The sequence below is a fragment of the Homo sapiens genome, chromosome 3 (genome assembly GCF_000001405.40).
Source record: "Homo sapiens chromosome 3, GRCh38.p14 Primary Assembly".
NCBI classification, from domain to species: Eukaryota; Metazoa; Chordata; class Mammalia; order Primates; family Hominidae; genus Homo; species Homo sapiens.
Genome location: NC_000003.12, coordinates 113281647 through 113298197, shown reverse-complemented (window position 1 = coordinate 113298197; position 16551 = coordinate 113281647). Strand labels below are relative to the sequence as shown.

Sequence of the window (16551 nt, the reverse complement as noted above, 5' to 3'; positions counted from 1 at the left end):
GGCAGGGATCAGAGTACATGTTCTGGTATATGAGGCTGCCATGCAAGAGGGCAACCCCTTGTATGGGGGTGGGGCTAGCTGAGGGGAAATCAAAGCTCTTTACTGAGAGAGGCCAGGCAGGCAGCCACAGGCCAGCACACACGTGCACATCATCTATTCATCGTTTCATTTGCGTCACTGATTAGATGGCCACCACATTATACATGTCCGTGGGGCATTACTTACATAGAATAGAAAGTGAATAGCCCCTCCTGGATTGTGCATAATGGCAGCCATGCCAATTGTACTATTCTAATTCAAATGTAAATTGTAACAATTATGCCCCAATACAAATTTCTGCACTATAAAAGAATTGAATCATCTTGCTGCATATTAAGGCCTTCAAACTTCTCTTAGGGGACAGTCTGGTCATTGAGAAAGTCCTGTTACAAGATTATGTTTTCTTGGAGAGGTGTTCTAGTGTTCTCACATTGGGGAAAGACAAAAACAAAAGTAAAATATATTGCATGCTAGATCTTACATGTTAGTTAGTTGCTAAGAAGAAAAATTAAAAATGGATTGAGAAAAAGAGTGCTGAGGTCCATGGGAGGCAGGGAAAGCCTCCATGGAAAGACAGCACATCTGATAATATGTAGTTATCCCTGGCTAGAGGATAAGAGCCTGCTCTTAGTCACAGCTCCAGTATCAGCTTGCTTTTAGAAAATGGGCTGGGAGGAGCAAGCCGTGTGGATCTCTGGGGAAGAGCAGTTCAGATAGGAGGAAATGAGGCTGGGGTGAGCCTGGCATGTTTGAGAAGCACAGAGGTGGCCAGTGTGTCTAGAGTAGGGTGGTAAGGAGGAGAGGCATGAGAAAGCAGCGGGGAGAGAAAGCAGGGTAGGCAGGCTGACCATGCAGGGCCTCCTGAATTCCCAAAGGGATTGTCATTATTTACCTGGAGTAAGATGGAGACTTCTCTGAAGTGCCTGCTCTATTCTTAATACTAGATGCTGTAAAGTGCCATATTTGAAAAAACTGACAAGCTCATAATCTAGTTGGTGCCTGTTAACAGTCTGAGGAGGGGCAGATCAGTCCATAATCCAGTTGGGAACATTGAGTCAGTTTTACACAGGATTCAGAAGGTGAAAAGACAATACCGAATGGGCATTTTTAAATGAGGAAAGCAGCAGAAAAAATCACAGAAGAAAAATCACTGATGGCATAAAATCTTTCATCATCTTGCAAAAGCAGTTCCTTAGAATGTTATTGTTCCTGGTGTTCATTTATAACAATGGGAGCCATTGAACAACCTGAGCCAGTGACTGTCTTCTTTTAGAAATGGAGGAAACAGTCCGGCAGCTCATGATCAGCAAGTTTGGCCGTGTGGTAAATCTAGAAGCCCTTCAAACGCTTTCTGTTAATACAACACTTGAAGAACTGAAGATCAGAAAACTTCGAAAGGAGCTAGCAAATGCGAAAGAGATGAAGATGTGGGAGGTAAGGAAGAGAAGGGGGTTGATCTTTGGTTGAATCTGGCTGGAGGCAAGAAATCCCAGGGAGCAGGAAGTGGTACCCATGAAGCATCTGTGTAGCTGGAGCTGGTCCGCGAGCCCCCTTTGGCTGCCCCAGGATCTTAGGCCTTGTCTCGGCTTCTTTACTGTTCACTTAGTTAGAGGGACTTGTTTATCTTGGAGTGAGAGCACCAGCACTAGGTTTTGGGGTCCAGGGTGCATATAAATATTATGTAAAATGGATGAAAGATTATGGAGAGATCTCATTTTGAGGCCTACATTAATGTATAAATGCTCTGCAGCCAAAAATTATATTTAAAAATGCTCAGCATCACTAATCATTGGAGAAATGCAAATTAAAACCACAATGAGAAAATGAAATATCATCTCACACCAGTCGGGCAAAGAAAATGTGCTGTGTATGTGTGTATGTATATATATGTATATAGAATACCATGGATTACTACGCAGCCATAAAAAATGATATCATGTCCTTTGCAGCAACACGAATGGAGCTGGAGGCCATTATCCTATATGAAATAACTCAGAAAATCAAATACTGCATGTTCTCACTTATAAGTGGGAGCTAAACAATGGGTACATGTGGACATAAAGATGAAAATAATAAACACTGGGGACTCCAGCAGCGGGGAGGATGGTGGGGGTGAGGGTTGAAAAATTACCTACTAGGTACAACGTTTGCTATCTGGTGATGGGTCTGCTAGAAACCCAAACCTCACTATTACACAGTATATCCAAGTCACAGACTTGTACATGTACACCTGAACCTACATTTTTTTAAAAAGTATAAATGCTCTGACAGTTTTAGAAATGGAGTGGCTATCCTCTCAGGCTTGAATTGTATTACTGTATGGTTTTTGCATGCTGTGCCAATTTGGAAATTATGAAACACCTCTAAGTAATAAATTTTGTAACAAGGCATAGACTGTTTGGCTGATACAGTCTTAGAGGATGTTAATGCCTACATATTGTTCCCTGAGCCATGAGATGAGCCTTGGCCTGGTTCCAGCCTGATTCAGAGATAGGAGCTTTCACAAAGATTTTATAAGTCCACAAAATCATGATGACTTCTCCAGTTTCCTGTCTTATCTCATTAGCAGATGGGGTAGGAGGAGAGCTTCCTAGTGCTGTGTTGTCCAATGGCTCCATCTCAACTTTTCTAATCCAAGATGTACCACTGTACTTTAAAGAAGCAAATAGTGTTCATGTCAGTGGGACTGGTCCCTATTAAGGGAATGTTGGCGATAATATATGCAATCTAAAATAATTTGTTGGAAGCCTGGGCAATGTAGTGAGACCCTGTCTCTACAAAAAATAAAAAATTAGCTGGGTGTGGTGTTGCACACCAGTAGTCCCAGCTACTTGAGAGGCTTAGGCAGAGGATCACTTGAGCCCAGAAGTTAGAGGTTGCAGTGAGCAACCGATGGAGCAATAAGAAAACAAAAGAAAGCCATTATACAGATGTGTGGCCACTCAAGCCAGCTACCTTAAGGATCCTGGGCCAAGACTGGGAAAAGATGGGGAAAAAGCAATACAGAAAAGTTAGCTGCTTAAATTATCACCCTTCCTTTTAAGTAATGAGTACCAGCAATCAGTATGCATAGTAATTTCATTCCTCAATAATACAATGATGTCCACATCTATCTTATTTCTACCTACTCCTATTCTTGAGCATACTTATATTCTTATCTTTAATCAAACCAGACCCAATGCACTTTGTGTTGCATTTTCATATTGGCTTCTGATTATATTTTCATATGGGCACATTGCTCCATTTGCCTGATGATTTTGACCAAATCTGGACACTCATTTTTCTTTCTTTCTTCTCGTATTCACTACATCTATTTTGCATCTTCCCACCCTGGTAGGAAAAGATTGCTCAAATGCGATGGGAACTGATGATGAAGACAAAAGAACACACCAGAAAGCTTTATCAGATGAATGATTTGTGTATTGAAAAGAAGAAACTTGATTCTCGGTTGAATACACTACAGAATCAGCAGGTATGTTCTTTACCTTCAGACCCTTTTTCGGAATTGAGGAAGCTCTGTCAAAGGTAGCTATTCACAAGAATGTTAAGTACTGGCATTTAAACAAACCTTGCTTGATCTTGGACCACTTCCAGACCATCTGCGTCCCCGAGGACACTGAGTTGGTGTTAGCCACATTACAGTGGGCCTGAGGGACTAGCTTTATTGAACGCCTCTTGGGTGCCATGAACTCACGTAAGTACTAATCAATAGAATTGCCTTGGTCCTGGAGAGGTGTAAGGTTACTTAGGTATGAATAACGACACCATTATACGCCCTGGGTTTGGTGTCAAACATGTATTTCCAATATCTGCAAATTTCATTTGACTTGAAGTGGGCATCTTGAGTGGTGAAATCTACCCTGTTTTCTTATTAAAATGCTTGTCACTTTGTGTGGGTTTCAACTTGCTATTACATAATATTTAGCCAGCCTAACATTGTACTTAATACATTGTATGTGGTGGATATACCTAATTAATATTTACCCAATCCAAGTCTTGCCCTCTACAAACCTAACACATGTATAGCATATTCCAAACTCTATGTTATATACTTAACAATATTACCTGCAAAAAGGCCAGTTGTTTCTCTTGGTCTTCTTTGCTTTATATTTTCTTTCAGAACCCTGGAAATGGTCTAAGCTAAGTGTTCCAACAGTTTGGTCCTCTGAAGAAGAGCATCAGCATCACCTGGGAACTTGTTTAAAATGCAGGTGCTAAGGCCCCAACCCAGTTGTACTGCTTCAGAAGCCTGAGGGGAGGGGCCCAGCAGTCTGCATTAACCAGCCTTCCCGGGGATTCTGAAGCACACTAGAGTTTAAGAATCACTGGTCTAAACAAAAGTCCCAAAGTAAGAAACAATGTTGTTTATTCCATGAAAAGTGAATTAGGAGGATTGGGAAGGCTTATAATTGAAGATTAGATGTGAAAGGAAGACTAGAATTTGAATATTGAGGGGTCTTTTTCCACTGAAGAACTTTTGAGTGAAGGATCAAGGCAGTGTTTGAGAAGGTTAATACCTAACCCAAATCTTCACAGACTGAGTAGTCAGTCAACATTTGTTGAGTCGATGTGCTTTGATCAGTCCAGATACATTGGAGAGGAAACAGCTTAGAGGCAGGAGATCAGCTGAATGGGAGAGGAAGTTACTAGTTATCTGTCTCTTTACACAGTATATGTTTACATGTATGGCCTCTTCACATAGGATATTTCATTTAATCCCCAAAACAGTACTTTCTAAAGCTCAGAGGAGCTGAGTAACTTGCTGAAGCTCTTAGAGCTAATGCATGGTGAAGTTAGTTTTGAAATTCAGGTCTGTCTGCCTCCAACGCTGACTCCATTGCTTCTTACAATGATGTAGGCAGGAATTGGGATATAGTTGGTGACAACAAAAATGTGTCAAATATCAAAAGCCATCTCAAAGTAAGAATAACCAAAATTTGATTGAGTCTGGTGAGGAGAAGGGGAAAGTGAGGTGACTTCAAAGTAACCCACTGGAATGACTGGGCATGAGTTGGTGTATGAGGCATGCTTTTAGCTACAAGCAACCAAAAGCCCTATTGAGAGTACCTTAAACAAATAGGAGTCATTTTTCTCACTTGACAAGAAGTCTAGAGGGAGATGACTACACGCTTTGGTTTTGTAGGACCATGATGCCAGAGCCCATATCTCTGTGATTTTCCTAAAGTTTCCTTCAAAGTCACATGACAGCTGCTTCAGCTCCCATGTTTCACATCCATGCACCAGCCTCTTCTGTCCCTTTTATTAAGGAGCAAAAGTTTCAGATTATATCCACTTAGCTCTCTCTAGCTGGAAGAGAAAATGGGTAAGGTTAAGTGTTTAGCTTTCATGGGCTCTAAAATAAAAGTGAGCAAGGGAGAAGAGGCAGAGGGTGTTGGGTAACCCTTACTATGAAGGTCTGCTATAGTACATAGGAGTAATGGAAAAAGTATGGACTTTTAGCATCAGGCAACCTGTTTCTAACTCTGCTTCCAGCTTGACTTGGCTAGTTAATGACTCCCTGAGTCTCAATGTCCTTATCTGTAAAACTGGAATGATACCACCCAGTTCAGAGTCATTTTGGGGATTAGATGAGAGAGCATATGCAAAGCACCTTGCACAAAGTGGGCACCACGCAAGTATTATGTCTTTCCTTTCACAGATGTATTCATGCATTCAAATGTTATTGAGCATCTACTTATGTAGAAAGCACTAGGGCAGGTATTGGCAGAGTGATGAGACTTAGTCATATGGAGCCCTGTTTCTAAAAGACAGGATCTCGCAGGAAAGATAGGTATCAAACAAGCACTTTGGTCATGCTATATTAAATTGCCATTGTTTTAGATTTAAAAAATGGTCAAATATCATAAATATTACATGGTTCAGAATGAACCATGTAATATTCTGTAAATTATAGTGATGTATATGTATAATGGATGTTTCGATAAAACAGAAAGCAGGAAATCCTAACCTAGTCCATGGGGCAAAGAAGGCCTCCCTGAAAGTGATGTGTGAAACATGAGTAGGAGTCAGCTGGACAGGGAAATAACTCCGATGAGGAAACAGAAGATTTCATTCTGGGAACCCAAATATGGGCTGTCCAGAAAAAGAAAGACATACTCTGTCTTTTATTATTCCAGTGATGAGCTCTTTAGGTAATGAATGACTGATAGCTAGCTTAAAGTGTACTCATCCAAAGAGGATTTGCACTTGAAGAGTTGTTTATTAGCCCAAAGGCACACATTTCTAATGGTGGGATTTTAGCAGAGGAATTGAAGGCTCCCGAGATTAAGGAACAGTGGCTGTTTAGGGTGACTGTCAGGCCAGCACTCATCACAGATACACAGTATAAGGGCATGGAGTTTTTCACATGCCAAATGATGCTTCAACAGGGAGCTGTTTTCTTTCAACAGGGCAATGCCTTCCAGGGCCCTCGGGAAGCAGATGTTGTGGCAAGAGAGGAGGTCACTGAATTGATCCAACTCCAGGCGGAAAGGATTTCGGCCTTAAAGGAGGAGATTGCTCTTTTGCGTAGGAAAGGCAGTCTTATCCTCCCACCCATTCAGTCTCCACGAGAGAAAGAGATACAGCCCGCAGACCTTTGAGTTTGCTATTTTCTCAAACCCATACAAGATTTCTGACATAACTCACTGGAAGTTCTGTCTCCTCATCACCTCCAACAATCTTATTACTTTAAACTGAACTCGCCTGAAAGTGTAAAACCAGATCCAGTCACGTTAAGTCACTTTAAGAATCTCTCTACAATTTGGTTATCTTAGAACTGACTGCAGCACCCAACCTCTGTTATGAAACTGAATCATTTTAGATGTTTCGAACCTACTAGATTGAATATGAAGTCTCGGAAGGCTGTGTTTCATGATTGCAGCAAATCACCTGTAATATATTTTGTTTTAGGAAAATTTGATTTGGGGGTATCCTGAATTTTTAGCCCTTGGCAAGAAAAACTATCATTCAGCAATTCATGAGAAAACTTTGTTTTCTTGATCCTTAGAAAATAAACTTAGATGTTATTAAGTGTTCTCTGAGAGGATGCAGGAGAAAAGGACATTTTGTCAGCTATATCTTAGAATAGAAATGCAAATTTCAGTTTTGGCATTGTTGACTTCATAAAGCAGTGTTTTGAGGGCTCAGGATTCAGGAAATACAAACAGACATGGCAGAGCAGTTTGCTTTGGGTTGGCAGAAAGCAGGAAAATAACCAGCCTTCTTGGATTGCCCACAGTTTTTGTAGACTCCTCAGTTCTGAGTGGAGCAGAGGGGCATGCTTAATAAAACAGTCAATAAAGAGGCTTTTCTTTAAAGATTTCTGCAACTCCGTCAGAATTCTAAGTTTTCCCCATAGTTTCTCATGTCCCCTGCCATTTTCTTTCAGGTTTTACTTGGGCCATTTGCTGGTTTTGATATAGATGAGGAGATAATGAAATAGATTTACTAGAGATCATCTTTAACAATCACCTTTGATTATGCATAACATTTTAAACTAATTGAAGAGTATCCTTTTGGTTTGGGGGTAAGTGCTCATTGAAGTTCATGGCTATAACCATTGCAGGATAATCTCACTGACATTTGGAATCCTGTTAGTAACAGAGCATAGCTCTTTAGATTAAGAGCTCTGTATTAACGAGCTACTCATTGAGGCTGTTCCAGGATAAGCTGGTCACTGAGAAGGGCGGGTGAAGAAAGGAACATTGCATAAATGTAGAAGGGAACTCAGCAATGCCAAGTCTTCCTCACCTGTGATTAGCCTGCTAATGTGCCCCCCAAAATTACAGACAGGTCTTGCTTTCTTTGTACATCAGCATATTCTTAGAGGTGGCCACTTGGCCTATTGTCTTCCTAAGATTCCTTCATATTCCTATTTAAGAGGTCAGAATACCTTATTGTTTGCACTTGTCACCATTAATTTCTGATGTAGTCACTTCTCTACTGGAGAGCACCCACTTTTTTTTTTAAATCACTTTCTGTGTTGTATATCCTAAGCCATGTGTGCCTTTCAAGTATTTTTAAAAATATGCTAGTCATAGCCCTGAGTGTCTTATTTATTGCGGTAAAAAATTACCCCCAAACTTAGCTTGAAACAACAAACTTGTGATCTCACCCAGGAGTGAGAGGGTTTCTGAGGTCCAGGAATCTGGGGACAGCTTGGCCGGGTGTTCTGGCTCAGGGTCTTTCGTGGAGTTGCAGTCACACTAGGAGCTGGGGCTGCAGCCATCTGAAGCTTGGCTGGAGCTGGAGGGGCTATTAGCAAATTCACTCCCTTGGCCATTAGGCAGGGCTTCAGTTCCTCGCCATGTGGGCCTCTCCATAGGGCCGCTTGGGATATGACTTCTCCCAGAGCAAGTGATCCAAGAGTGAGGGAGACAGCAAGAGAGAATGATGTATACAAGAGCCACAGTCTTTTACAGCCCAAGCTCAGAAGTGACATAGCGTCACTATTGTCATATGGGTCACAGGCTGACCCTGTGTGATGTGGGAGGGGACTGAACAGGGTGTGAATGCCAGGTGGGGGTCACCGGGGCCTTCGTGGGAGCTGGCAGCCACAAGAAGCAGCTGCCTGGAGAGAGTGGCTGGTCTCTGAGAAAGGTCTTGAGGCGATACCATCCCCTTGGTAATTGTAGAGAATCAGGAGAAGTTACGTTATCTTCCTGGGCCTCATTTTATTATCTGACAAATGAAGGATTGGTAGAATGGGTTCCTTCCCATTCTGAGATTCTGATTCTGATTGCAGCAAGAATGGACCTACAGTCTACAGAAGAGCCACATCAGGACTTGCTGTGCATTTCAACTGAGAGGAAAGCTAATCGGGATAATTATTCCCAAACTGAGCTGGACTAAATCACTAGTTAATTCTACAATATTCAGGGCTTCATTCCGCATGTTTGGGAATTGACGACAGTTAACACTGAATTACTTTATTTTGAATTGGACAAAATATGTTGATAGCTTTAGGTTCATTTCAACTTGATTCCAGGCTTAGTCTTAAATCTGTAGTTAAGTTAGAGCATCTGAGTCTTTGGGAAGTTAAGCTTCAAACACAAGTAGACCAGCAGGGTGTGGCATGGGCAGGGTGGCTGGGAAGCTATCCTGCTCCTGGCACACTTCCCTGCCTTCTGCTGTGCTCCCAGAGGAGCAGCCTCACCTCTGAGGGTAAGGCCAAAAATCAGCCTACACTGAGTTACTTGTGGGTCAATTGTTCATATAACTTGGCTCTTCTGAACTGTCATCCATAGTATCACCGATGATCAATCTCAGCATTGGAAGAAAAAGAAACCACAGAGTCCAGCCCCTCTGTCACAACTTCAGAGTAAAGGAGTTGCTCATGCCTGCCAGCCAGCCTGTCCCACCACAGCGGGCTCCCCAGCTTAGGGAGGTCTGTGAGCCATGTGCTAAATTTCTCTTTAGAGCTAAATCCATTGAGTGCTATGATTCCAGTGCTGTGCAGAAAGCAGATGTTTCACCTATCACTTCAGAAAAGTTCACCAGACTTCATTTTGACAGCTACCTTAGATCATCAAGGAGAAAAAGGAAAAAATGTAAAAACCAGTGGGGCTAGAAGGTGAGTTACAGCTCAGATTGGGGGGCCTCTGGATAGCAAAGCAATGACTGAGAGCGTCAGCCCTACCCACCCCAGAAGTGAGCTCTGGGCCGTGATGCCAGGTTGTCTGAAATCACAGTATCTTATTTTTTCTCTTCTCTTCCCTGCTCTGCTTCTCATTTCCTAACATTTACCTGTTCCTTACAGTCCTTCCTTTTAAATAATATTTTTAAAATACTGCTTTCCTGAAAACCATGCTGCACTTCCACATGAAGTTCTCTCTGACGTTGAGCTTGATGGAAAAAGGATGCAGAAGTCAGGAATAGCAGGTGCTATACTTATTTTGGCCAGCAGAGGATGCACTTGCCCTAAACAGTCAGAGTGACTCTTCCCTAGGACCCTGTTTATCAAATTCTTCATGTTTAAAAGCCAGGGTCTGGCCCCCCACTTAACGAGATTGTCTCAAGTGGCATTTCATCTGTAACTCAATTTTACAGAAATCTAGAAAATACAGGCTCCCCCCACCCTCTCCAGCCCCAAAACACAAAGCGTAGTAAGGCTTTCATTGCAAGCATCAGTCTCCATCTAATTCCACTTCCACATATAAAGATTTTAAAATTTCAATTAAAAAAGAATCTATGGTTGATCCTTTGGTTGGACAACAGTAAGTAAATGTTGATTTTAAACTAGTGAGTCAACTACTCTGGCAATGTTGGTGTATCTTTGGAAAGAAGGGAAGTGAATTTATTATGCACCATATGTCCATGTGTGGCACAGCACTTAGCTAAACAGTATTTTGGAGAAAATATTTGGTCTTCAACACACACCTATATAAAAAAGATTAGTTCTATTTCTTCAATATGACCTAAACTTCATCTCAAGTCCAGTTGGTAAGAGAACTATGAACCTGTTTTTCCTGGTCTGTTGTACAACGGTTCCCTTGTGGACTAAACGGTAATGTGTTCTGCATGAATCCAAGCACAACTGACATTCACTGTTTTAAAAAACAAAAAAGAGAAACATTTACTACCTTTTTCAGATCTCATTTCTGATGGACCTGAAAATATTGTAAGTGGGTATTTTCTTCAAATACTCAGAGACTGAATTCTAACATGTAAAGAAAATGCTGACTCACACATGACTCAGTTTGAAGGTTACAGGGAAGACTAAACATTTATTTAGAAGTTACAGTGTTTGTTTTTACAGAGATATGTTGCCACGGATTATTGATTCTGGAAGGTTTTTTAATGCTCATAGTGCTGTACACATCTTGGTCTGTTCTCATGGGCATCTTAGGAAAATGTTTCCCGTAGCACCGGATCCAGCCATCTGTGTGGGTGTCTCCAGGCTGTGATACCGTGCCCCTTGCTGTTCCCTCATGCTCGTGATGAACCATGTGCCTGGGATCCTTCCTCTTGCCAGCTTATCTGTGGGCCTCCTGCAGCCTCGCCTGCCACTGCAGAGGCCCCAGGTTAGGAGTCTGTCCCGCGCCAGCCTGTGCGGTGCTTTCCTGGGTGACTCCTGTTAGGTGGCAGCTTCTTTATTTTCCCTCTCCAACCTCAACGGGTAGGACTCCTTATGTCTCTCCAGAATTATAAAACATATACATTTATTTACAAGTGCATAAATATATAAATATGGCTATAATAGAAAAATAAATACCAATTTTCTCTGTCTCTTTTTTCTTCTTTTTTTTTTTAAAAAAAAAACAATATATAGTCTTTCTGGGATATCAGCTTCTGCCTAAATTGTGAGAGGTGGTGTTTCAAAAGACACACGCACCAGTGGCCCCGGGGAGAGCTGCATTCCAGGTTCCTGTCCTACGTAGGCCCCTACGGGGTGCTGGGGACACCAGTCTCCTCCACTCACTTGGCAGGAGTCAGGACTGTCCACCTCTTCAACTGGCACAAGGCCCAAGCAGCATGGGGGCCCTGAGGGGAGAAAGAGTAGGAACCATTAAAATCCAGATTGACCGAGGAGCCAACACCCAGTGACACTGGGCCAATCTCTATCTGTGGTGGAGGTGGTTACACTGGCTCTGGAAAGGGGACAGAAACCTACAACCGAGACAAGGGCACTTCTGTTCCCTCCAAGGTCTCTCATCAAAACAGGGAGGGCCACTTGCCACCCATTTCCCACTCATGCTGGGACTGTAGAGACTCCCGCACTGAGCCCACACCACAGGAGCAGATGAAGTCAGTGCAGCCCGTGAAACGCAGAAGGAAGCCCTGCTCTTTCTATGTTTAGGCGGCTAGTCCACCCTTTGCTATGGCTTCTGGTTACAATCATCCCACTCACAATCCAGTCCCCCCAGATTGACACGGTCCAGTTTAAATGATGCTGGGTCGAGCTTTAGGACCCAGCATCTTTTAAATTTAATCTCCTAGAGACAGAGTCCAGGATCTGCCTATGAATGGGCACACACACAGAGAAGCTAAGAAACGTTAGTGGATACTTGGTGCCCTCACCAAGTATCCACTGATTTCTAAGGAGACTAGCATGGAGGAAGACAATGGGATGGGCTTAGCGTGAATGGCCCAAAACTCCTTGGAGAAAAAGTTCCGTGGAAGTACAAAGAGTTATGATGATGATGTTTGTAAGAATTTGGCTCCTTAATGATTGAGGCAACCTTATTCCTTAATTAAGAGACAAGCCTCAACAAAGCAAGGCATTTCAGAGTGATTAGAGAATGCCTCTTAGTGTGATGAGCAGCAAATGGAATTTGTGAATGGCCTTGAAATGCACAGACCAAAAAGGGCTTTTTTCTCTGAAATGGAGAAATAGCCTTTTTCTCAGAGGCTGAGGACCGCAGCTTATCATGTTGCAGTAGAACCCACTTGGACATCCCACAGACCTACTGGGCCTTCAGCAGTGAAGGAAAGTGGCCAGCCACCCTCGATGCCCCATCCCTCCCACATAAATGCTGTGGCTGGCTCCTTACCAAGCCCCACCTTTGAAGACTGTTACTACTGGCTTGTGGATGCCTACCTCATGTCACCCCCAGCCTGTTTAATTTCCCTGCCCTGCTCCTGGAACCAACCTGAGTGAAATGGAGGGTCCCACACTGCTTCCAGGACAGGACTGTCGGGGGCTCTCCTCACCCCTGACTGGCCCACAGCAGCAGGCTGCTCCTGGCGTTGGCAGCAGTCGTGATGGGGCTGCAGCAGCTGGTGAGTGGAGTCGTCGGGCAGTGTGTATAAGAAAGAGCCCTCGTCCGGGCTAGACTTGGGACCCCTGCAGTGCACAAGCCCAGATGGGGAGGTGGGGCTGGGCAGGGTGGGCCTGTCGCCCCATCCCCCTGCTGGCTGTCTCCCTGTCTGAGGGCATCAGAGCTGGTGAGAGCTCAGATGGGGCAAGGACTGCTCTCCCCTTTGAACATCAAGAGGTACCACACCATCATTCCCACTGATCATTCTAGTCCATTTCCATTTTACTCCATGTGGGAGAATGTGAAGTCAGGTGTCCAGGGGCCCATGGGCAAAGTCAGTTGTGGTGGGTGCTTCTGATCTGTCTAGTGACGGAGGATTCCGAGATGCCAAGCCATGCCCTCAGGCAGAAAGGGCATCGCAATTGCAAATGCAACAACTGCCTATTAGGGCAATGGTTCAGAGGAGCATGATTGTCAGTCACGGGGACCCCTGAGTACAGCACTACTGCTTGGCTCTCAGTGACAGGCCTTGGATTTGAGGAGCTAAAGGGAAAGTGAGGCTGTGGGGCTTGGGAGTGAAAGGGGAGAGGCCTGGTTACCTCGTGATCTGGTGACTTTGGGGGTCATATCCATTGCCAAGATGGGTCTGCCTCAGCAGGCTGCTGGTGTCACTCTGCTGCTCAAAAGGAAGAGTAATGAGACGGCCACGCCGGGGAGTCCAGGTAACTTTCCAGTCTTCACTCAACAACAGGAGCATCTGCTCCTGACTAAAGAAAGCCTGGCCCAGCAGCCCAGCCTGAGACCCTAGGAGGGAGGAGGCCCCCCAAGGCAGCCCAGCCACTCCCTCCTGGGTGTCCCATACCTGCCGCCCACACCCAAGAATGCGCTACCTGCTGAAGCTCGCCTGGGCAGTGCTGCTGGGGCTTCATGCCCGGGTAGCCCACTGCAGCCGAGGGGCAGCCCCTATTCATGTGGATCCCATTAGCACAGGCCCGTCCACTGATGCCACTGAGGTAGGGCTGTCCACTGGCCTGGTGGCCTGGGAGTCCTCCCAATGGCACCATAGTATACGGGCAGGAGGGTGGAAGGGCACTTCGAGGAAAACCCAGGTCTGTTGTATGTTCTGGAAGGACAGAAAAATAAAGGTGTGCTTAGGCCAAGGTAGCCCGGGATGGGTTGGAAAAGCCCCACAAGGATCTCAGGAGGCTCCTGGCCACAGAGGGTTGAAGGACGTAGGCAGGGAGTTGACAGTGCCCAAGCGATGGAGAACATTTTCTCCTAGAGTCTCCTTTGTGTCGCCCATTTCTACCTGACACCTAGACTCTTCTGCAGGGAGAAGGGTGGGGAGATACAGGGTCCAGGGCTTGGGGGCAGGAGGCGGTGAGTGAAAAGAAGAACAATATTTAGAGGAGGTAAGCTGACCAGATGTTTTGCCATCTGAAGCAGAAATTAGTGACTAAAAGTCAGATTCCAGGATAGAGGGGAAAGCTGAAGGCAGCTCCGCACCCAGGGAAGAGGCAGGATGGACTGTAAGTAGGAATGTGAGGTCAGAGGAGCAGCTTCGGACACTTCAGAAGATGGCACAACATAGGTCCCGAGCTCCAAAGGTGCAGAGAAGACAGCCCAACTTTCCCTCCTTCCTCCTCCCCAAGCCGAGGTCTGTGAGCTGGGGGAGGGGCCCAGTCGTTGGGTGTTCTCTGACCTCCGAGACCTTTGGGGGACTTGGGCTTGAGCTTTCCATGGACACAGACCTAGGCAGAGGCCTCCTTAGTGGAGCCCCCATTTCCCACCCAGGATCCTCCCACTGAAAGCGTCACTCACTCACTTTGCTTAGACCAGGCCCTCCACAAGCAGAAGGGGATGAAGGTGACGATGATGAGAACGATGGAGCCCAGGACGACCCCGACAATCAGATAGGGCAGGTCGCTGGAGCGAGCCACCATGGCCCCAGTGCCCACCGGCCGCTCTATGGTTTCAGGAAGGGGCGGCTGTGGTGGGGCCAGAGTTGGGGGTGGCAGTCGACCAGGCTGGCCAGAAGACTTCCGAGCTGTAATTGTGGACAAAACTCACTTCAGCATATGTTTCTTTGATATTTCCTTCACAACAAATAGAAAAAAAAATACCCCCATTCCATGGGTTTGGGAAATGGGGTCAGACTCACTAGATTGGGCCTCAAAATCTCTTATTTGAATGGTGTCCACACTCAGCATGAAATTGGAATCTAATGTGAAATCTGGTGTTGTGGCGGAGACCTGAGCCTTATATTTCAAAGCAGAGCGAGATGTCTGTGAGCCATGCACTAGAGTTGGACTGGGTCCTTCCGGCAGAAGCGGTGTAGTGCTTTTGGGAAGAACTGGTGAACTTTTGGAAGAAAATATTTAAAATGCAGGAGCCAGAAAAAGAATTGGGAATGGAAGAATTTACCGACACCCAAGAGCGTGCTACCTGCTGGTGGACTGAGACGTGAAGCACTAGGTATTAGCATGGATCACAGCAGGGGGACAGGTGTTCCCGGACTCACGAGGACACACAGTACATGTGAGATGCCAATTCAGAGGTGGAGTCAAGGCCATCAGCTCCTCACTTTAGCTTTGCTGTTAGGAGGTGCATCTGACCCTGCTGGCCCTCGTGGCCATCTTCTCCCCCGGCTTTCGGACTCTGTCCCCTAATGTCCCCCACCTCTCTGCTGCTCTGTATGCCTCTCCTTTCCTCTCTGTGCCGTCTGCCTCCACAGACACTGGGAGGCCTTCCTGGTTCCTCCCGTCTGTACTCTCTGTATATTCTCACCTAGTCCCGTGACTTCTACCTATATCCTAAAGAGCCGCAAACCAATCTCCCCACCCGGACCCCCTGCACGGGGCAGGAGCTCTGCTCCTTATCAAGACACTTCATTTCAATGTCTCCAAAGAGTCAAAGACTCAGTAAGCCTCCAAGTGGTTTTACCTTGTTCCTTTCTCATGAAATCTGTCTTCTTGCCGTTGCCATTTCAATAAGTGGCAACATCACCTGTGCAGTACTTCCAGCTGGAAACCTTGAAGTTTATTTTTAACTTCTTTCACTCTCTCCCAGCCCTAGCATGCAAGCTGACCCTGGTCCCGCCCACACCTCCTTAGAAAAGAGACTCAAACCCATCCCTTCTCTTTACCTTTACTTTAGAGCCCCAGTTCTCAACCCTCAGCCCATTCCCTGCACAGTCACCAGTGACCCATCTCAGCAGACAAATCCACTGACAGCCCTCCTCCACCTCACAGCCTCCAGTGGCTCCAGCTCTCCCTGGCTGCACCGGCTCATCTCACACCATCCTCAGTGGCCTCTTTCCTAGGCATTCACTCCCATAACCTCCTTCCCGGTGCCTGACACCCCAACCATCTGGAGCTATGTCCAGCCTTGTCCTCCAGGCCACTCCCTCCTCATCCTAGCCTAAGACTCGGTCCTTCCAGAAGACCAGTGTGAAGGCTTTATGAAGTCTCTTCCTCCCTCTGGGCACTCCCTGCACCAGGTGATCCAGGATTCTGGGCTGTGCATGTATCTGCCCTCCCTCTGGTGTGCATGATGGAAGAGGGCAGGGAGAGACACAGAGGCACTCAGGGAGGATCTGCTGAACAACTGAAAGCCAGTGAAGCAGGAGAGAGAATGCCATTGCCTTGATGAGAGAAAAATGTGTTGTTCTGTCTCTATTCCTATTCCTTTGTGATCTTCTCCTGATTATGTTCTTTGCAATACAACTGCTTTATCTCACTTTCAGTATCTGCAAAACGGAGATAATGCTATCTCCCCATCTGACCAATGTGCAAATATTAACAAGTTATTA

At 45.3% G+C, this 16551-nt stretch overlaps 2 protein-coding genes and 1 long non-coding RNA gene across 39 annotated transcripts in view; 2 read left to right on the top strand and 1 right to left on the bottom strand.

The window, feature by feature from the left end:
* SPICE1-CFAP44 (SPICE1-CFAP44 readthrough (NMD candidate)) overlaps positions 1-11268 on the top strand; it is a 228227-nt gene extending 216959 nt beyond the window's left edge. For 5 of the 6 annotated variants that reach the window (NR_183046.1, NR_183045.1, NR_183049.1 and 2 more), the window contains 3 exons: positions 1313-1473; positions 3377-3511; positions 6450-11268. This is a non-coding gene — a long non-coding RNA (SPICE1-CFAP44 readthrough (NMD candidate)). Of the gene's footprint in view, positions 1-1312; positions 1474-3376; positions 3512-4159; positions 4247-6449 lie in introns of all 6 variants that reach the window. The other variant, NR_183050.1, reaches the window with a different exon arrangement.
* The window catches only part of CFAP44 (cilia and flagella associated protein 44), a 154585-nt gene extending 143317 nt beyond the window's left edge, over positions 1-11268 (top strand). The window contains exons 33-35 of the mRNA NM_001164496.2: positions 1313-1473; positions 3377-3511; positions 6450-11268. Of these exons, the coding sequence (NP_001157968.1) occupies positions 1313-1473; positions 3377-3511; positions 6450-6641 (488 nt within the window). The 3' untranslated portion in view covers positions 6642-11268. The remainder of the gene's footprint in view (positions 1-1312; positions 1474-3376; positions 3512-6449) is intronic.
* Positions 10739-16551, bottom strand: part of BOC (BOC cell adhesion associated, oncogene regulated) — a 76534-nt gene continuing 70721 nt past the window's right edge. For 17 of the 32 annotated variants that reach the window (NM_001378075.1, NM_001378073.1, XM_047449184.1 and 14 more), the window contains 5 exons: positions 14566-14787; positions 13631-13863; positions 13340-13416; positions 12633-12826; positions 10739-11523 (listed from right to left, as the gene is read on the bottom strand). In NM_001378075.1, the coding sequence (NP_001365004.1) occupies positions 11336-11523; positions 12633-12826; positions 13340-13416; positions 13631-13863; positions 14566-14787 (914 nt within the window). In that variant the 3' untranslated portion in view covers positions 10739-11335. Of the gene's footprint in view, positions 11524-12632; positions 12827-13339; positions 13519-13630; positions 13864-14565; positions 14788-16551 lie in introns of those variants that run through there. The other 15 variants (XM_047449188.1, XM_047449186.1, XM_047449187.1 and 12 more) reach the window with 4 other exon arrangements.